At 42.3% G+C, this 22,071-nt stretch overlaps 1 long non-coding RNA gene across 1 annotated transcript, besides 1 other annotated feature; it reads left to right on the forward strand.

Moving 5' to 3' along the window:
* The first annotated feature begins 43 nt into the window (after positions 1 to 43).
* LOC400940 (uncharacterized) lies at positions 44 to 6,298 on the forward strand. The gene is made up of 3 exons (NR_026833.1): positions 44 to 138; positions 364 to 923; positions 3,491 to 6,298. It is a non-coding gene; the product is annotated as an uncharacterized LOC400940 (long non-coding RNA).
* Positions 13,491 to 14,690: an enhancer, noted in NCBI's record as "CDK7 strongly-dependent group 2 enhancer chr2:6135557-6136756 (GRCh37/hg19 assembly coordinates)". NCBI's record gives its function as "activates an origin of replication core promoter dependent on BRD2, BRD4, P300/CBP, MED14 and CDK7 cofactors, with strong dependence on CDK7, by STARR-seq in HCT116 cells {active_cell/tissue: HCT116}" and the evidence as "EXISTENCE:reporter gene assay evidence [ECO:0000049][PMID:35650434]".

Raw genomic sequence — 22,071 nt, forward strand, 5'->3', positions numbered from 1 at the left:
GGAGCCCCTCAGGCTTTCTCTCTGTCTGCCTCCATCTTACCGTATCCAGAGACCACACTAAAATGGTGGCTGACGTGGAGACAGAGGAAGCTCCTTTCTAGTTATGGCCACAAGGCAGGATGCTGAGGTGTTGTCTAGGTAAGAAGCAAATCTTAACCTTGGGTCTCCTTTCTGCACATGCAATCCTGTATGGTGATGTCTCTGACGTTCAGGGAGCTAAGTCACAATGCTTTTATGTTTTCAGTGTATTTTATTTATTATTTTATTTTACCTGCACAGCTTCACCCCTAAAGAGTGTCAGGAAATAACCCTTTCTGTCTGCTTTTCTTTTTATAAAAGAATCACATTGCCTTTGCCTCGTAGGCTCAGTTGGATCTCCAAGTGGCGGTACCGTTCTCTCCACTTCAAAAATACACAGAAACATGTGGAAATGTTCTGTCATCCAGAATGAAAAGCATGTGCACCAAATTTTCACAGACCTGATTCGAATGTAGATAAAAGTGCAAAATCCAGAGGAGGGAACACGCTATAGAAATCCTGTCTTCTATACTATAATTTAATCATCGTGTGCCACAGAATGTCTTTGCATAAATTACAACCACAATAATAGCATCACTTTCACAAAAGGTGGCCTCTAATCGATTTGACTCTCCAAGAGATGGCTGGGTTTTTCAAAGCAGAGAAATGATGACCTGCAGTCTTAAAGAGCTGTTGATTGCACCTGGGGCTCCCGTGGCCGGCGCCCATCGAGCAGCCCATCCTGGCTGTTCCCTTGTTCAGCTGATTTTCTTTTTTATCTTGACATTTGCTAACCGCTTGGTTTTTATTTTCCGGGAAGAGAGGATTATTGGCAACTGGCACCACCCCCATGTCTGGAGGAGGGACGTTTCTAGGATGACCCCCAGAGTGGAGAAATAGCCGAGGTAACCTTTTTGCTATAAATTTCTTCCCCTGCCTCCGTCTTCTGTTCCTTTCCTTCCCCCCATCCCTTGAACAAACATGATTTTTAAATTCCCCTCATCATTTTTAGTGCTTTGGAGTCTTCTCAGATGTGGACGAAAACAGTTCGTGAGCTGCGCTGAGCAGTTCCGGAGCCCTGGCTCCCTTTCCCCGGGGCCTAAGCCCCCAAGAAGAGAGTCTTTTTCAGGACCATGGGAGCAGGTTTTAAAAGGCTTTCTATTGAAGCGAGGCCGTCAGCCAGCCGTGCGTGTCCGCATTGTGGTGGTCCCAGAGCCTTATGGACAATCCTTTGAAAGAATAGGGTTGGGAAGATTCTCAGGACAGAAGCGGCTAATTTCCATCCTTGGAGCTTTATCTCACAAAGGATATTTGATAGAAAGAAAAAATGGAGTCTGTGGAAGCTTTGCTCCTATTTCCAAATGGGTTGACTCTGGATGCAAAGGAATATTTTCACATTTTTCCCAATAGAGGAAAGCTTTTAGTGCCAAAATCCTCAAAGGAGAATGAACATCACACATTACACATGTATGTATAAGGGTAGAATAATATGGTACAAAATCCAGTGAGTACAAGCACACAATGGGCATTCAGTACAGGTTAAATGAATATGCAAGAAAAATTCAAAGTTGTTGTTGCTGTTTATAAGGGTGGTGATTATTAATAGATGCAAATGTATACTCCCTTTTGTAATCACAGCAAGGTAAAAGTCTTATCTCTGATCATTACCATGAGGACACTTAAATATTTAGCCCTGGGGACAAAATGGTTTGTAGGCAGGACGTCCTGTGTGTTTATGCACACATAAAATGCCGCCCTGGCCCCAGGACTGCAAGGCCTCTGACTGCATCATTTACATTCAGGGGTGGTCCTGATCAACATGGCCCCATAGAATAATAGAGGGAATTTCAGATAGTACAGCGTTAGATAATAAGCGCTTTCCACTGACTCTGTTTACATGTGGAAATTAGAAGCGCTGAGTGAAAAAGAGTAGTGAAAATAAAGACAGGAAGTATATACACAACAAACAATTTTTCCTCTCTGCAAATCGGATTATTCCCTTGCGCACCCCCTGCAACCCCCATCTATGATGTCAAACTCAATGGACTGTTGAACTAATAGCCTGGGAGTCACCAGCGTGAGAGTGTGTATGTCCACGCTGTGCAACTTGAATTAGGCTGGCCACCACGGCTGTGTACAGCTACCCCAGGAAGAGCCCCTCCCCTCCTCAGCATTTCAGTGGAAAACGTGCTGACTGGGACCCAGCTACAGGAATCACATTTGGGCAGAGAGAATGGCTTATCCTTTTCATGAGGGGTCTTGACTCAAGAACACTTGCCAATTCTGCTTGACCGTTTCCCATTCTTTACGGTTTTTCCTATCACTCCTTAGACTAAGAAAGAAAAATCTGTAGGAATGATTCGGTGGGATTTCTCTTTTGTTCCTAAATAAACCTTATCCCTGGATGAGCTCGTTCACACTAGGGAAGTTACTACCACTGGCTTTGAAGCCAGGCAGATCTGGGTGTTCCTTCCCATGTCTTTATTTGCTTTGTGGGGGATCTTTTCCCAGCCTTTCTGCTTTCATCCTTCTTAGTGAGAGCTTCTTCAGCTGCAGAACAGGGGCAATAATGCCTACCTTGCTGGGTTGCAGCAGAGAATGCTGCTTATGCAGGAAAATAAAAAAACACATAGCACACAATGGGAGCTTAATACATAAGAATTATAAACAGTCTTTTGTGTATATATCAATGTATTTCATGTCCTTAATGTTTATTTAAAGCAAGTACATTCTTTTGAATTAAGCATAAAAAGGTCATAAAATGCCAGAGATGTGCTTATTTGAAATGTTTGCAATGCTTTGCAATTGTTTTAAAATAAGGAGATGATATAACAGGGTGTTACCTCCGCCACTAATTAGTTACGTAATCTTAGATTATGTCACTTCCCTGGGTCTCAGTTGTAAACAGTTGCTTAATAAATAATGTTTGTTTTGCTTTCATCAATAATCCAGAATTAGGCAGTGAAATATGGAAGCTACATTGGTAGGAGCTTCTGTGATGGTCAGGTCCTGGAGGAAAGTGTGAGTTGGAACCTCCACCTTCCTCCCTACCAACGCCCTCCAGAAACACTGCTCACTGGATGCAGGGGCGCTTCTCCTGTTTCTAGTTCACTTGGTCTAGAGGCCAGCCAGGTAGGAGTCATCCTGTTCTTGGAGGCAATGTGGCCCAGACCCAGGCTCTAGCAGCAGGTCTGACTGCAGCACTTTCTCCCTCGGGGTGGCTCCCAGTCCCAGTGTGGTGGGCCCACCCTTCCTTACCACCAGGCGCCTCTCCTGGAAGCTGCGAAAACCTTCCCCCCTTTCAGGCACTGGGAATCAGCATTCTTTGGCGTATGCCTGGATTTGCCCCAGAATTATCCTGCAAAGTCTCTCCCCTCCTGACCTCAAATGTTCCTGTCCCTACAACCAGACGGTAGACCCCAGGGCCTCCGGGGCTCCTTCCAGTGCCTCCTTGTCATCTTTTGAATCACAGCTCATGAGGCAACCCACACAGGCAGGCTGGAGAGGAGTGGCAAGAAGCTCACCTTCGGACAGTAGTGAGCAGAGCAACAGAGGCCCCCAGAGACTTCGCACAACGGAAAAGAGATCAACTCCCGCATTTGCAGGGGACGTGAAAGTGCAATACTGTGAGGAACAAAAGGAAGCCTCATCTCTGGAAGCCGGGAGGAAAAACAGTCGGTGTAGACAGCAGCGGCAGGGACCAGAGCTGACCAGAAGGCTGGGTCCCAGCAACAATTAGAGACAGGCAGCAGCTGAGGCCCCTTCTCTGAGAACCATTTCAATTGCACAGTGGCCACAGAAGGCTCCATTGGCCCGGCAGCCAGCTCTGCAGAGCCATTTGTCCACAAGGAAAATAATAGCCCCGGCCTCATTGCTTTGGGCTGCAGGGAGGACAATGACCCACCATGAAAAGAGTTAAAAAGATTCTGGGGAAGGGGAAAGGCAGGCCCACACGGTGGCAATTCAAGATCTTTTGGATGCCGTGAGCGTGTTCTTTAATTAAGCCCCTCTTCTTCAGCTCATCCTGCAGAAACGCACCTGCTTCCCATCTGCCATCCAAAACGGCAAGCACAAGAATGACTTCACACTGTCACTTTCAGAGTTCCGCTGTGGCCCACAGTGATTTTTCAAGAAAGGCAGCCACAGACTCGCTCGCGCTTTCTCTTTCTCCTTTCCTCTGAAAGACTCTATAAAAACCACATTAAAAAGTGTGTGAGCCAAGCAATTTCATTTATCAAAGGAAGAAGGTCATCCATAGCATTCATTCTAAGAATATCAGGCACACGGCCAGCCCTGGACACAAGGCATGAAGACCAGAGGGCCCTTTATTGACCTAATCTCTATTTTGTCGCCAAACTGCATCTGTGTCTGAAAGCTGGGACACACAATATTTCCCTCTACCAAAATAATTTTATTTTCTGCAGCAGCATGTAACAAACAATTAATGGTGGTAACATGGGCTTCTGTCATTTTCTGAACAACCCAGTTCTGTTTGGTGTTACTGCAGTGGTTGTTATTTTGGGTGGTTCTGTGCTTATTCCATTCTGCCAATTGGTCCCATTCGCATGGGCGTGAGCCCGTGCCGTCATCTACCACCTTGGAATCCATGTTATTGCCAGAACTGTGTGGGGCCTTGCTTGAGGGCCTGTCCCCTGTCCTCTTCACAGATGTTTCTGTGCCTTCAGGGAGAGGACTGATTGTGCTGTCTCCCTCTCCCACCCGTGTCTGCTGTCTCCAAAACTAAGGGAGGCTGCGGTGAAACCAGCCTGGCCCAGGTTCCTCTGGTGCCTGCCGTGGCTCAAATTATCCAAACTACAGTGGCTGATTCCCAGCGACCCATCCCTTAGTGCCCTTGTGCCCCGTTGAAGAAGTGGCCCATGTTATGAATAGGGAAGCTAAGGTCATTAAGAATTTGTGCAGGCGTACAAAGAAAGTGCAAGTCAGAGATCCTTGTCTCAGCTACTTTGCTTGAAAAATGACTCCATGCTCTGAGATGCTATAAATGGAGCAAACAGTGTGAAGTGGTTCTCCCCCTCCAAGAAACTGCCCCCTGATGCGTTCCCCCATTAGACACCTGCTCCTCCAAGCCTGGTCTTCTCTCTGCAACCACTTCCCCTATGCCTCTCCCCACCCACCATGCATGACTCCTTGTCACACACATGATCTCTGGTCCTACCTTGCACTTGGTGCTGGGGGCTGTGATTCCCTCTGCCTCTGTCTCCCCACATCGTCCCTGACATCACCTTTCACCGTGCACTGGTCTCGCTTCCTCGGGAACTCTATGAATGGCCTTGTTCTCTGATTATTTGATTATTCCATTATCAACCCAAAGCTCACTGGGTCTATGGGGCTGAGAGGTCGTTTTTATTACATCATTTTAATTATTCAGATAAAAGACTCGCAGGCACAGATTTATCACCACTGCCTAAAGAAAAGCAGAGACACACATAATTCCATTTTGAAAATCCATTCTTAAAAGCAAAAATATGATTCAGTTGAAGGTATTCAGAAAAAAAAATGCTCATTGAAAAACCCTGATGATTTTTAGCATTTCAAATAAATTGTGTACAGTTACGGTCATTTGTTAACTATTTTGGAGACTGCGAGCTGATCATTATCTCTCTTTTTCAGATAACAAAATGTATCTACCTTCTCCCAGAGTGTAAACTAATCTGGTGGCTGGAAAAAGCAAACAAACAAACAAAGATCTGTTAAGAAAGATCTGATTTTTCAAATGGCGCATACCATTCCTTGAAACAGAGGTGATGAATAGGTAGAGACAAAAGCATCAAACATCCAGGCAGGACCTGTTTATCTCTGGGCAGAAATCTGTTCAATTCCATGATAAAACAAGGTTTGAAGTCAGGGATTCAATTTCACAAACTAAACAGACGTGTGCACACACATGTGCACACTGTGCATGTCCCAGTGCACACACGCAGAACCCATTTCGTAGGGACACACATGTGCACACTGCATGCCCCAGTGCACACACGCACAACCCATTTCGTAGGGACACACATGTGCACACTGCATGCCCCAGTGCACACACACACAACCCATTTCATAGGGACACACGTGCACACTGCATGCCCCAGTGCACACACGCACAACCCATTTCGTAGGGACACACATGTGCACACTGCATGCCCCAGTGCACACACGCACAACCCATTTCGTAGGGACACACATGTGCACACTGCATGCCCCAATGCACAGACACACAACCCATTTTGTAGGGTCCTAGCAGAATTTTCTCTGTAGGAAAAGCACTCAATCTTGCTGATTTGTGGCTGTTTCTCCGGTTTGCATCAGGTTGGGCCTCATGACACAGGACTGGCCTAAGCATTAGGTCAGAGCTGGAATATGCCAAGTCTTCCCCATCCCTTCTCCATTCCCAGGGCTGAGTAGTGGTTAGAAGGGCGAGCACAACACACCCAGACACTTATCCCCTCTATGTCTTCTGCCTTTCCTCTTTCCCCTGTAGGTGTTTCTTCTTAGAGTAGCTTTTTAATCATGCTCACTGGTTGTCTGCTTCTTAAGACTGGCCATGTTTCACAATTCTTCCAATTGCATTACTTCCCCTAAGGCTCTCCCTTTTCCTGGATATCTCATTGACACCTGTATTAGAGTTTTCCAGAGAAACAGGACCAATAGCATATATAGGAATATGCAGAAAGATATTTATGATGAGAGATTGGCTCAAGTAATGGTGGAGACAGAGAAGTCCCACCGTCTGCCACCTGAGAGCTAGAGGCCCAGCAAAGCTGGTGGTGGTGTTCCAGTCCAGGCCCAAAGGCCTGAGAACCAGGATCACTGACATGCAAGGACAGATGAAGATGGATGTCTCAGGTCAAGCAGAGAGGAAATTCACCCATCCTCTACCTTTTTGTTCTATTCAAGCACTTAACAGATTGCATGGTGCCCATCCACATTGGTGAGGGTGATCTTCTTTGCTCAGCTTACTGAATCAAATGCCAAACTCTTCCAGAAGGACCTTCACAGGTATGCTCAGTAGGAAAGTTTTACCAGGTATCTGGGCATCCCTAAGACCAGTCACATCAACTAAACCATCACAACACCTAAGACTTGAATTTCCAATTGTCTTCTGGTGTTTGTAAAACACTGTTAGGGAGCTCATCCCTCTCTGTTGAATCCTGGACAGTTTCAAAGCCTGCTGGTCAGCTCTGTCCCATTCTGCAGGCATCACGACCTCCAACCATCCAAATAAAGTAAGTGTCCTTGCTTGCTCTACTTCTGATCTGTCCTTCACATCCTGCGTCTTCTCCAAATTACCTATGTGTAATCTATGGCATTCTCACAATTAGCCCAAACTGGCGATCCAGTCCCTACACACACACACACAAACACAGACCCTAAATTCCCTTAATCTGTTTACTGAATCTGCTTCTTCTTCTGCTGAAACATTTCTGGAATCCCCCTTTCCTCTCATGCACCGCCATTGCCCAAGTTTAGGTATTCATCAATTCTTGCCAATGTGATTTCTAATGCACCTAATGGGTTTCTTATATCCAGGTACCCCCTTACTCTCCAGTCTGTCTTCCACTCTGCCCCTAGACTTGTTTTTCATATATAAAGCTCTTATTTTCCAGCACATATAAAATAAGCTTCTTAGCAGGGCACTCGAGGCTTTGCAAATGTGCTGTCAACCACTCCATGCACCTGTGCAGATTCCTAGTCGCTATTCCCCTCTCTTCAACACTCATGGCCCATCCCCAAGAGGCTGCCTTCAGGCCTTTTCATCTTTGCACATGTCCCTCCACTAGGAATGCCTTTCCTCTCCCAGGCTTGGCAAAGTACATTTTCAAGGCCTCTTGTAGTGCTGTGCGCTGTATGCTGCAGGTGATATGCCCCATGCTTCAGGCAGTTTGGTCTTGTAAGTGCAAGTAAGGGGCTTATCACAAGCCCTCTCACTTGCCTTGAACTCGGGATGTCTGACCCTTTCTCATGTGTAGCTTGGTGCAGGCTCAGAGTAGAATGAGGTAGGTGGGCAGTGCTGAACATGGAGATGGTTCTGGGGAGCTTCTGTGTGACTAATATCGCAAGGCCTCAGATAAAGCCCCCTGCAACCTCTCCTTTCCCTAACTGGTCTGAGCCAGGGGAAATGGCATCCTTGCCGTCATCACTACCATGCTGTGTTCCTATTTGCTCCAAGGACACAATCAGCATCATTACCCCATTCTCCTCAAAGCACATTCCATTCATTTTCTTCTTCAAGGCAGTGTTTTTTATCCCCATTCCACAAATGAGGAGATGAAGATTCAGACAGAGCAAGAAATTTTTCAAGGTAGCGATTCACCCTCTGATTCTCTGGACTAGAGTCATCCTGTGGAAGCTCTGCCTCCCTCCTCTGGTCTCTCTCTTTCCCGCATCCACTTTCCTCAAACACGTGTCACCTCTGTTTCATTCTCTGGCCACCTACCCCCACCATCCTTTCTTGGCTCAGATCTGAAGTACTCCAGACTACCAGATTACGTAAAAATTCAAAGGCATGAGAAAATGGCAAGCATGGAAACAAATTCTTGGTAGAGATGAGTGGCAACCTCAAAAAGAAGCCTCCTCTCCCCATAAATTCCTCAGTGCCCCATCAATCTCCATCAATCCATACAAGACCAGCCTCACTCTGACCACCCGGGTCTTCCACATACTATTGTTTTCTGCAACTTGAACAAAATAATGGATTGTAGTTGATATTCTCCAGGGGATTTGACTACCCTCACATAAAATCTCTAGTTAAAAAGAGCTGATTTAAGTCATACATACAAAAACAGCATGATAGCATGCAATGTTTATCAAACCTGAGTGGAAAAGGATTGCCTGGAAGGCTTTTTGAAAATTGTATCCATTCTCATCTCTACTGATGGTGCCTGAGTAGGTCTGGGCAGAATTCTTGGAGTGTCAGGGGATTCCTGAAGGAGGTCAACAGGAATCTCACTGGCGAAAGAAGAACTGACTTTGGATTTAGACAGACCTTGGTTCAGACCTTACCTTTGCCATATGCAAACATTAGAATTTTGAAAGAATTGCTCATTTTAATTTGACTTTTCATTTCATTTTGAAAATAAAAACTTCCCTTTTCATTTTATTTTGACTTTCAGTTTTTTCTCTTAGAAAACAAATCAAAATGAAACCTACCTCAAGGCATTGTTGCCAGACCCAAATAAAATCAATTACATTTCATGAAATAAAATAATCATCCTATGTTGGTTTTCAAATAAATGGAAAGTTGCTTTTTTCACGTCAGAGTGAATATTTTATAAAAGTATAATTACACATAAAGGAAAATATAATACATTGAGAAAGTGGTTGTTTTATTTAGTTTGAGAATTACATGCTATTAATGTATTTGTATCATTAGAAATTTTGCAGAGATCCCTACAGAAAATAATTATAACAATTTCCTTTTATTTCAACTTCGACAATGTGGTAGCAGGTATCCTGAAGGTGCTGCCTCTGACACCTCCTGGAAATTCTGTGTGCATGACTAGAAGCATTATTTGAATGCTTGGCTGAGTTCCGGAGAGGGACTCTGAGCAGCCAGAGGGAAGAACAAAGTGTCGGGAGATACTGGGAGGACACAGGAATGCAGGGGACAGGAATGCTTTTCCAATTTGTGCATTGGGGAATTGGGGGCAATCACCACAGGAGACAAAAGTTGGGTGCTTGAATCCTTGGGTCAGAAATCAAAACTTACTCCCACCTTCTGCTCCACCTACCCAACTAAGCCTGGCCCTGGCTGGGCTACACCCTCACTGAAAAGTATGCAAGAAAAAAACCTGCCTACTAGCTCAGAGGGCTGGAATGAATCCCAGGCTGTGTCTACGTGGGTGTCAGCGGGGATTGAGTAAAATACAGGCGGCGGGAACTTCCCTGAACATTTGTTACCATGGACCTAACTCATAAAGGATTAGGGCTGGAACTGAGATTATCAAGGTTGTGAACCTCTGGCGCACCTGCTGGAAACACATGCAAACCACTCCTGAAAAATGAACTCCCTGGCATCCCCACACCCCAAATTCATGTGGAACAAGTATGCTTAAAATGCTTAAAGACGTTTTAAAAAGGAAACGTAGTTGTCAGAAAAGACAAAGGATGCTTCAAAATACAAGATAGATTTTAGAAAAAAATCAAATGGAACCCTTTAAAAATGTAATCGTTGAAATTGGGATAATTCAAATGAGAGGAACAGCACATATGATGCCCATGAAAAAAAGAATTAATGGGTGGTAGAATAGATTAGAATAATTTATCCCATATTGAACAAAAAGAGATACAGAGATTTTACCTCATAGTTTACCTGTTAGAAACCTCATAGTTTACCTGTTAGAAACCTCATAGGTTACCTGTTATAAACCTACCTCTAATTAGAGGACCAAAGAAAGAAAACAGAAAAAAGTGGAAGAGAACCAATATTCATAGAAATAATAAATATTTTTTCCCACAACTTATGAAAGAATGGAGTCTGGAGAATCAGGAATCTTAGTAAGTCCTAAGAAAAATAAGTCCTATTGAGTACATACCTAAACTCATTACAGTGAAATTACATGCTACCCAATACAAGACATGATTAAACACACACACACACACACACACACACACACACACACACACACACCCTGAGATAAAACAGACTCCCAATAAAGAAAAACAAATTAGTCTGATAGCAGACTTCTCAACAGTCATCAGGGAGGCTGGGGTTTACCTTGACTGCTTAAATTAAAGTCCATTCCCAAGGACATCTCAAATGGCCAAGTAACCAGTCCCTGCTTGTTTATAGAGTGTGGAAGTTGTTTAGATTTGCTATGGACCACCTCTCTACCTCCACCTCACTGAGCTCTGAGGCAAATGGATTCCCCTATTGTAAACTAGGAATGAGTGTCTGAAAGAAGCCTTTTCTGATTCCCTGTAAAAGTTCATTCATCAGGAGGAAGGGGAGTCATTCCAGCCTTCACTGCCTGTGGACGGCAACAACTTCACTGTGGAAGACGCCAGTAGGTAAGAAGTTGCTCATGGAGCCCATATGAATAAAGACAACATTGAACCTGACTCCTTGGCTGCCTGTCTCCTTCCCCTTTCTACAGGAGAAGTAAAGGCATCTTTTAAGGACAAAGATGACAGTCTTTGTGCCTGGCTGAGTCCTTGCTTAGAGACACACAGAATAATAGAATAAACTTGGAAGGATAGTAAATTGATATGTTTTTATTTGCCCCTGAAATTATGTTCCTTTCTAGCCTGTTCCTCCCAAGAATGAGCCACAGAGGGTGTTGCCCACAGCAGGAGGGAGTCGATTCTCATCTGAGAACAAAGTGTCTTGATGAATTCTATATTTTAAAGGTGGATTTTCTTGATCTCCTTAGTCAGACTTAGTTTTGAAAGTCAAACTTTGTAGAGAGAGAAGAGATTTAGAAATTTTAAATCACCCTTTCTGAATGCCAAGGCTTTGGCCATATAATTATTGATGGATTGATTGATTGATTGATTGAAATGAAGTTTCACTCTTGTTGCCCAGGCTGGAGTGCAGTGGTGCAATCTTGGCTCACCGCAACCTCTGCCTCCTGGGTTCAAGCAATTCTCTTGCCTCAGCCTCCCGTTTCTGGGATTACAAGCATGTGCCACCATGCCCGGCTAATTTTGCATTTTTGGTAGAGATGAGGTTTCTCCATGTTGGTCAGGCTGGTCTCGAACACCCGACCTCAGGTGATCTGCCCACCTCGGCCTCCCAAAATGCTGGGATTACAGGCATGAGCCACCGCACCCGGCTGGGCCGTATCAATTTAATTATGATCATGGTGTTAGTGTTTTCCACAGACAGTCTCCTGAGAGTAGAGAGAGGGAGAGTGAGAGAGAGGTTGAGGCTGAGGTCTGTTAGAGCCTTGGACTTGTACTGGCAAAGTGGAAACCCCAGAAGAGAAGGAGAGGAGGTATAAGGTTCTGGGTGTGGAGGGTGGAGAAATGTTCGGTGGGCTGGTGTCACATAGCTTTTTCCATAGCTACTTTATTGTATCATTGCTTTAACATTGCTTTCTCAGAACTACTCTGATCATCTGACTCTCAATATACCCTTCTTCCCCATCTGTAGCCCTATTTTCTTAGGCTTTCTTTGCACTGATGCTTGTGTCATATGCCTATTTGCTGACAGGGTTATTGTCAGCTCCCTCACTGGAACATCTTCTCTGTTCTCTCGCCAGAGTCTGGACACAGCTGACCGTAATGTTTATTCAATCAATGACTGGTAAGGAAGCTAACATTCAAAGGTGCTTTGCTCTGCTTGCCTCCAGGACTGGGGAGGAAAATGCTTTGTAGAGTGTGCTTTATGCCATTATGGTCAAACTAGCATAGTCAGCCAAAAGAGAGGTGCCCACATAGATCCCCCTGAAGAAGTCGCTGATGTGAAGGTGGCAAAGTACAAGAAAGACAGATCCAATCTGGGTCAACTGGGTTACACAGAGATCAGCTCTGCACTCCTAAGGCCATGGGAACCTGTTCCCGAACCTGTGGAGCATCAATTTTCTGTTCTACTCTGAGTTGTACCACAATTAGAAGCATCATTATGTGGAAAGGAATTCCCAGAGGTTCCTAAACATCCTTCTCCTCCTTTAACCAATAAAGACATATGCATCTTGCATTAATACTGTGGAATAAATAATGAATTATAAACGGAATAGAAATTATAATACAGTGATGTGATGTCTGCACAGATTTTTATGGTCCCTGGAGTCAGTCCCTTTAGAAATGTACATTATTTTCTCTATTTAAAGATATTCACAACTCTTTGTTAATCCAGCTCACCATACTCATCTAGGGACACTGGGAGGGAAAATGTATTTGGAATTCTACGGGCTCCATTCTTCCATTGCTTTTCAATTAGAGACACCATTCGTCTTGTGTGTTTTATCTCTTGGAGCATTCTCCCATGTGCTGCCGGAAGATAACACTCTTTTCAGGTCTCTGAAGTTGCTGGGTTTTACTACGTGTCTCCTAACACCCATAGGTGTATGTAATCTCACTGTAACAGAATGTTGTCATGTCTTGTTGACTAATTAAGCATCCTCGTTCCAAATCTCAGCAGCTGAAAGTTCAAGTGTTAAATGGTGGGATAGTGAATCCAGGAGGCAGTGAATGAGGAGGCAACTCGGGCCCTGGCTGAGTTTTTACTTCTTTTTCTTCTGTTGCATTATTTTGTTTCTGTTTTGCCAGGTGCTGCCTGGTTAAAGATGCCAGTAGGCTCGACACAGAGCCAAATATACTGTCCAAATGTGAGATTAGAAATTAGATCATATGTGATAAAAGACAGCAATTTATTTTAGCTTGGTGTTATATCAGGAAACTATGAAATAATATAATCAATTTATTTGCTTACTCACACAAGCAATGTCTGCTATGTGCCAGACACAGGAAAAAAAAATACCAGGGCTAAAATGATCCATAAGACAAGATTCTTGCTCTTGAAATACACAATCCAGTGGGGGAGGAAGACAAGTAGTAGACAGTTATAGGACAGCATCCTGAGAATTGGGAGAGAGATTTGTTTATGAGTCTTGGAAGTAGGAGTTAAATTCAGAGAAGGTGGCATTTGAGCAGTGTAAGGACCTGTTGGATGAATAGTGGGAATTGAAGTAGGAGAAAAACAGAATTTAGAAGATCATGAAGGACTTCTCATTCTACAGCAAAAACTTGGGCTTTTACTCAAGGACTTGAGGAGCTGTTGAAGATTTCAACTGAGAAGCTTCGAGAGGAACCTTGAGACTGAGCTAGTGCCCTTCGATGGCTGTGTGAAAGGATGGACTTCATGGGAGGAAAGAATCCGACAAGCTGAGAGGACGCTAAAGAAAAAGAAAAGAGGCACTGAAGGACTGGGCTAAACAGTGATGATAGACTCTCAAGTTATGGAAGAAGCACATAAATGGGGCTGAGCAGGTCGCTGGAGTTAGGGGAGTTGGAGTCTGCTTTGGCTACCTTGCATGGAAATGATGCTGGTTGTTAAACCAAGGAATACAGGAAAAAAAAGACACTGTTTAGAGATGACATCATGATTTCAGTGTGAGTCAATTTCAGTATGAGACACCAATGAGACACTCAGGAGGAGTGGGCTAGTTAACCACCCACCAGTGCCTGGAGCTCAAGAGGAATGTCAGGGCTGGGATGAAGGTAAGTCAGAAACACTCCAGAACAGCTAAAAACCAAGTCTACATGCAGTGAGAATAACAGTAGCAAGATATAACTATATAATACTGGTCAATAATAAAATTTAAAGCAAACAAGAAGAAAACTAGGAAGGTAGACTTGGAGCAAGCATGTAGAGAGATATGAGAGATCCAGAAACAAGTCAAGTCCAGAAAGTTAACATGGGGAGAGAGTGGATATATGATTTTCAGACACCATAGAAAGTGTCTGTCCTACTAGCATACAGCCCTATCCACTGGTTACTAGGTGAGGCAATAGATGTATTAATTAGCTGGGTTGTGGGGATATTTCAAAATGTATACATATATAAAAACAACACCTTGTACAAGTTAAATAAATAAAATTTCAATTCGTCAATGATACACCAATAAAGCTAAAAACAAACAAACAAACAAAAAAGGTGGCCAGGTGCAGTGGCTCAGTCCTATAATCCCAGCACTTGTGGAGGCCAGGGTGAGCAGATCTCTTGAGTCCAGGAGTTTGAGACCAGTCTGGGCAACATGGTAAAACCCCATTTCTATGAAAAATGCAAAAACATTAAAGGTGGTGGCACATGCCTGTAGTCCCAGCTACTCTGGAGGATAAGATGGAAGGATTACCTGAGCCCAGGAGGTCAAGTCTTCAGTGAGCCATGATCACACCACTGCACTCTAGCCTGGGTGACAGAGGGAGACCCTGTCTTTAAAAAAAAGGAAAAGAAAAAGGAAAAGAACGGTGAGGAATTGTCAATGAATGTGTAGGGGAGAAAATGAAACAGAAAAGACTATTTCTAAGTTTTTCAGCCTTCTTGTCTTGGAGAAAGAGGGATTCTTTGATAGAAATAAGACTCTGGAAGAAGTAGTGCTTCTCAGCATATAAAAATGCCTTTTTAAAAAATGGTGATTCCAATTTCCCAAAGAAGAAATAGTTTTAGAGTGTACCAGAAGACTACTATAAACATTACACCTAATATGTCTCTTTAAATTTTGTGTATTCACTTAGCAGTGAACTTTGCACACCTTCATGTTAGTCCCTCAGTGAATACTCACTCACTTTCACACCGCTATGCCACCAATGCAATTACCATTCCAGTGCAAACCCAACTGTGGTGGTCCTACCTCACCTGTCAGGAGCAATTTCATAACAGAGAGCAGCACTGAGGTCTCATATTACTAATATTTCATTACATTTACAAAAGAGACAAGAGTGCATTCATTAGTATACTATGAAATATTACCATAAATAAGTAAAATTAAATTATACTTGTCAAAATAAATGAACACTGCACACACCATGATTCAGTGTCCCTAATTCTTTTAATTATGTTTTTTTCTTACTTGCTAATTTGTGAAATTTGCTAACTCACAATGGACTCCCTTGTCATTAGTGAGAATGAGTCTGATTCTGCTGGAATACAAAGGGCTTTGCACACCCTATGTAGCATGGCTCCTGGCATTCTGTACCTGGAGCACCATGTTGACTAATTGGTGCTTTTTCTCATGTCAAGCTTGTTGAAAGCTACATATTAATTATCACCTTTTGAAATTGGTGATTACAAGATGAATGTTATCCGGGTAAATGGAAGTGTACCATTTTGCTCTAAAATAGGAAATTCCAGTGCAGAGTTATAATAGCTAAAATGTTGCCCTATTTTTAGTGTTGTACCTTGATGTTTAATGTATGTTTTCTACGAATGCAAAGAACAGACAATTGTGCTAGTTTCAAATTTGTTGCTCTGCTGAGTCCACATTAATGATCCATCACCTAGAAAAATACAGAAGTCATTTTGGCCTATGTGAAGCATGGTAAAGCTTTAAATCCAGGCAATATTTATTGGGTACCTACTTTTTGTATGTATGCATTCTCCAGCAATTGTATATAAATTATCTGATTAATCCTCACAATATTTCAGTGAGTTAGGCAGTTTGAGTTTCCTTTCATGAATAAGGAGTCTCAAAGGAGTTAGATAGACTTCCCAAGTTCATGCACCTGGTGAATGACAGATGGGAACATACATCTTTCCATTACGTGTTTTACCTCCTCATGGCTTGATATCAGCTTATGTCAAACTGCCTGTAGATTGTATATTATTGTTAAGAAATACATGGATTTGGATGATAAAGAAATAGGATACATGAAGAGAAAGACTGGAGAGGGGGCGTAGGGGAATCGTTAGCAGCAGGCATTAAGGAAAGGCTTACGTAGCTGTGTCATTTCTAATTTTCATTCTTTTTGTGTTGGAAAAAGAATGATGTTTAAGAAAATTGAGGGCCGGGCGCGGTGGCTCACGCCTGTAATCCCAGCACTTTGGGAGGCCGAGGCGGGCGGATCACGAGGTCAGGAGATCGAGACCATCCCGGCTAAAACGGTGAAACCCCGTCTCTACTAAAAAAAATACAAAAAATTAGCCGGGCGTAGTGGCGGGCGCCTGTAGTCCCAGCTACTTGGGAGGCTGAGGCAGGAGAATGGCGTGAACCCGGGAGGCGGAGCTTGCAGTGAGCCGAGATCGCGCCCCTGTACTCCAGCCTGGGCGACAGAGCGAGACTCCGTCTCAAAAAAAAAAAAAAAAGAAAAAAAGAAAATTGAGAAAAGTAAAATCACAAAAGAAATACCTGTCAGCATTGCATTTGGGTGTTTTACTTTTAACATTTTCCTTCAGGCACCAAAGATGTTAAAATTCTTTTGTAAGGCCTTTAACAGGGCTCTGATCAGATAGAATTTCACACCCTTCCCAGAATGTTTGCTGACACTCTGGAGCATTCTATGAAAGAGGGTGCAAAGTATCCTGCCTGACTTCCTCCAAGAGTAGGTCACATAGGTTTCCTCCTGCTCCCTCTCTGACATCTTGGTCCGTTGGGGTTACTATAACAAATTACTGTAACTGGGTGGCTTAGAAACAGCCATCATTTATTCTTCACAGTCTGGAAGCTGGAAGTCTGAGACCAGGAGCCAGCATGGTCAGGTTCTGATGAGAGCTCTCTTCCTGACTTGCAGATGGCCACCTTCTGGCTGTGTTTCCAGGTGGTAGGGAGAGAGCAAAAGAGGTAACAAGCTCTGTTGTGACTCTTGTAAGGCCACTAATCCTTTTCATGAGGGCTCTATCCTCATAACCTCATCTCATCCTAATTAGCTCTCAAAGGCCCCACCTCCTAATACCATCACATTGGTGGGGTAGGGTTTCAATATATGAATTTGGAAGGATACCAGCATTCAAACCATAACGTCTCCCTTGGGCTATGCACAAAGGGAGTCCAGAAGTCTCACATAATGAGTGTTCATTCTGCTGCTACTGGACTGGAGACGCCACATAGAGGGGGAGAAGTTGAGGAGCCCAAGCTATCCCCAGTAGTAACACCAGTTTTGTGAGTCTGCAAGCCTTAAAACCACTGCAGTGCCCAGCCTTGAGCCAGCTCAGCCTCCTCCAGCAGAAGCAGAGACATGGTGTCATCATGTAGACCCTCCCCAATGGCAGATTTTTGAGAAAAATAAATAAATGTTGATTTTGCTTTAAGCTGCTACATTTTAAGTGGTTTGTCACATAGTCATAGTAACTAGAACACACTCTTGTGATATTTTTGTATCAGAGATCATAATTTAATGTATATATTGTCTAAAAAAAGGCTGTTCCTGATACATTTCTATGGTATTGTTACAATAATGTTCATGTAACAAGAAAAAAATTCGTGCTGAAACCGCTTACTTTTAAACTTCTAATACGATCACGAACAACATTTGTTGAACAGAGATTTTACTGTGGCCAATACAACAGGATATGTTTTGCTGAGATGATCTTTAATTCACTCAAGGAAAAATTCTAGAAGTTAGGTCTGTTGAAAACCTTCTGTTTAACCAATTATGTATATATTTTATATAATACCTAATACTTCCCAATACTCAGCAATAGAATTTATTTCTTTTGCCAACATTATCTTCCAAAAAGATACCAGGTTGATGTTTTTTCAAAGCACTTGTATATCTGATGATAATGTAAAACAATTTGACTAACTGTAATTCTTAGACCTCAAATTTCCTACTCCAAAATTCTAGAGCTGTGCTGGATAAGCTTTTTAGCACTTAACGTTGAGGCAAAGTATAAGTCTAGTGTTGTTTGCCTTTGTAGGTGATCATCGGATGACTCACGCAAACTAAATAAATGCATATACGATTTTTCTTTTATTAAAACACCAACAGAATCAGTTTGGGTATGGATCTGGTAAACATTTTGGAGTCTCATCTTTACATATGCAGGTCTTTATAAACCCTTGGGTCTGGGTCTCCCAAATGATGCCCAGTGTCACTAATTGCTGGCACAGTCCCCACCCAGCACCTCTGTGTCCCCTTTTTTCTGTACCTAGGACCATCTCCCTTTTCATTTACCTTCCTGTGGCTCATTCCCCTTCTCGACATTCAGTGCTCTGCTATCCCACACAGGTTGACCCTGATTGCATGATCTAAAGGGAGTTTCCAGAGTCTCCCTTAACACTTTACCTTGTTTTATTTACTTTAAAGCATTTGTCACTATCTCACAATATCCTATTTCTTCAGTTGTTTGCTTGTTTATGATGTTTCTTCTCCTATTAGAAATAAAACCCCATGACAGCAGGATACTTTTGTGTTACTCATTAAGTTCTTCCCTACAGCCTAACACTATGCCTGGAAGATAGAAATTGCCTCATGTATATTTTCAAATGAATGAATGAATGGAGAAATGAATGGACGGATAGTTGATATCCTGCACAGAAATGCCAAACATTTTTTGATTGAGATTTTTGATCCCTGCCAGCCATCATCAATCCCTGTCCTCTCATCTTGTTTACCTCTCGGTTCTTTTCTTCCTATATTCCAGGTTGCATGGGCTTGATCCACAATGACTCAGCTTTCAGCCATCGCAATTGTGCTATGCTCAGCTGTCAAGTGTGTTTTAAATCTCCTACTACATTTTTTTTAAAGTTTTTCTGCCATCCTTTGTACTCCTTTTTAAAAACTTATCCAGGAAGTGGTATGAAATCTCCAGTACTTCTCGGCACACACAGATGCGTCTTTTTCTGTTTATTGTTTTCCCTCTGAGAGTTGTAGTGTTCAGTTGGTTACACCAAGAGAAGTACTTGGCTGGGACTGTTAAAAAAAGTGTCACAAAGCAGCACCAAGGAGAAAACAACACTGTTTTCTGAATGTTCGTGCTTGGAATTTCTTTACTACAGGGAAAATGAGATGGGGGAGGGCCCTTCTTATCTATTTTCAGACAGACATCTCACAAATGCATAAAAAATATAATCCTTTTAGTTCCACTGGCCTTGTAGTTGTTGTAAATGCATCTTAAATTCCTAAATGATTTTTAAATTACATTATGTCTTTCAGCGGTGTAGGCTTTGATTTCTGAGGCTGTTAGCCAGATATAGGCTTTAACAAACACTCATGTTCTTTTGTCTTTATGTCTTTATTTTAAAATTATATATATACATATATATATGTATGTATGTATGTATAAGTATCCAGTGAGTATAAGAAAAATATCAAAGAGAAGAATTTTTCTCATTCTGTCTTCAAATAGGTAATACTTCACAAATTGATGTATGCTCATGGACAATAGCAGGTAATGCTTTTGAAACTGAAAGATTTGTCTCTGAGTTCCAACAATTGTCTTAGCAGACAGAGTTTCAAGGTCATCAAATCTGTATCCATTGGTGGCATAGAAGATGTCAATCACATTGCCTTTGAATCAGAACCTATCATTGTCAATACAGATAAACTGCAGGTTAACTCTCTCTCTGTCTCGCCCCTGGAAACTAGGCTTAATGTTTTGCCAAAAATTGGGTATTTGCTCTTGACCCTAGAGCAAAGGCTCTCACTTCAACAAAACTTTTCACTACTCTCCAGAAGAGCCAAGCCTCATACTGATGAGAAGAAGAGAAGGAAGAGAAATGGGAAGCCGATCATTAAAATATTTTCCTGCAAGGGGAAGAAAACAACAATTCTTAAGTGCCAATATGAGACAGGCACTATACTGAGCACTTTGGATGTGGTATCTGTTTACATTTATTTGAATAATAATCAGCATATAGAAATTCAACATAGATTCTGCACCATTTCTTTCAGTCCTTCTGGATGGTTTTTCATTTGTATTTGTAATAACTTGAAAGTTACTTAATCTCTCATTAAGTTGCTGAGGTATGCTTTTTAACATAATATTTGCATAGGCCATGAACCAGAATGAATAAAAGGAAAATCCCAAGATCTAGAACATTGTTTTAGAATTGATGCCTACCCAACACTTTGTCCTGAGTTTACTTAGCATATAGAAAGGAGTTACATACACAATGAACATTCGAGGACTGAATTTTAGTTGAAGTAACTGAGATGAGTAAACAAAAAATGCCAGAAGCTCACTGCCTCCTCCACCCCCACCACACCTGATGCAGTCCAGAGGCAAATTTCTTTGTTAATCCACTTATTTGTGTTATTTTTATGTATTTATACTTATAGTACGTAGCATATCTAAGCTCATGTCTGTCTTAGGAATTGGAATTTTAGCAGGCAGAGAGATCATCACCTTAACTCTGTGGTGTTCAATCTTTTAGCTTCCCTGGGCCACATCACAAGAAGAAAAATTGTCTTGGGCCATACATAAAATACACCAACACTAATGATAGCTGATGAGCTAAAAAAAAAAAAACCTGTCAAAAATATCATAATTTTTTTCATTGCTTGAGCAATTTTTTTATTATTATTATACTTTAAGTTCTAGGGTACATGTGCACAACGTGCAGGTTTGTTACATATGTATACATGTGCCATGTTGGTGTGCTGCACCCATTAACTTGTCATTTACATTAGGTATATCTCCTAATGCTATCCCTCCCCTCTCCACCCACCCCACGACAGGCCCCAGTGTGTGATGTTCCCAAAAATATCATAATGGTTTAGGAAAGTTTACGAATTTGTGCTGGGCTGCATTCAAAGCCATCCTGGGTTGCATGTGGTCTGCAGGCCCCAGGTTGGACAAGCTTGCCTTAAATGAAGTTTACAAATAGTTACAATTATGTTTAGTGCTACAGATTAGAAGTATATGCTAATATGTAATTGATATGGTTTGGCTGTGTTCCCACCCACATCTCACTTTGAATTATAATAATCCTCACATGTCAAGGGTGGGGCCAGGTGGAGATAATTGAATCATGGAGGCAGTTTACCCCATACTACTCCCGTGGTTGTGAATAAGTCTCATGAGATCTGATGGTTTTATAAATGACAGTTTCCCTGCACAAGCTCTCTTGCCTGCCGCCATGTAAGATAGGACTTTGCTCCTCATTCATCTTCAGCCATGATTGTGAGGCCTCCCCAGCCATGTGAAACTGTGAGTCAATTAAACCTCTTTCCTTTATAAATTACCCAGTCTTGGATATGTCTTTATTAGCAGTGTGAGAATGGACTACGGGAAGATATAATCCAGTGTGAATGATACAAATTTCTGTGTCTAATACCTGAATACCTGAACTGTATTTGATCACTAAGTTGCCATCTGCTTCTAAGGTACTCCTAGAGTGGACAAGGATACCTGCATACTAGCATTGGCTGATGATGGCTTTTTTCCCTCTTGAAGAAATGGCCATTCTGATAAGATGGCTTCTTCAACAAGTCAATAATCCCTAAAGTCTAGTTTCTTTCTATGGCTTTTGGGAAAAAGATGCATGAGACTCTTGGAATATAAGCAAAAACTTATAATATTCAATGTTGACTCAACTTGGAGTATTTTTCTCACATTCTAAAGAGTAATGAGGATGATAAGATGATGAATTCCATGTAATAAGGAGAATGTAGGTGCAGAAGTGAGATACGTGTAAGTGGCTAAATTTTATGTTTCTCTATAAC

The sequence above is a fragment of the Homo sapiens genome, chromosome 2 (genome assembly GCF_000001405.40).
Source record: "Homo sapiens chromosome 2, GRCh38.p14 Primary Assembly".
Lineage (NCBI taxonomy): Eukaryota > Metazoa > Chordata > Mammalia > Primates > Hominidae > Homo > Homo sapiens.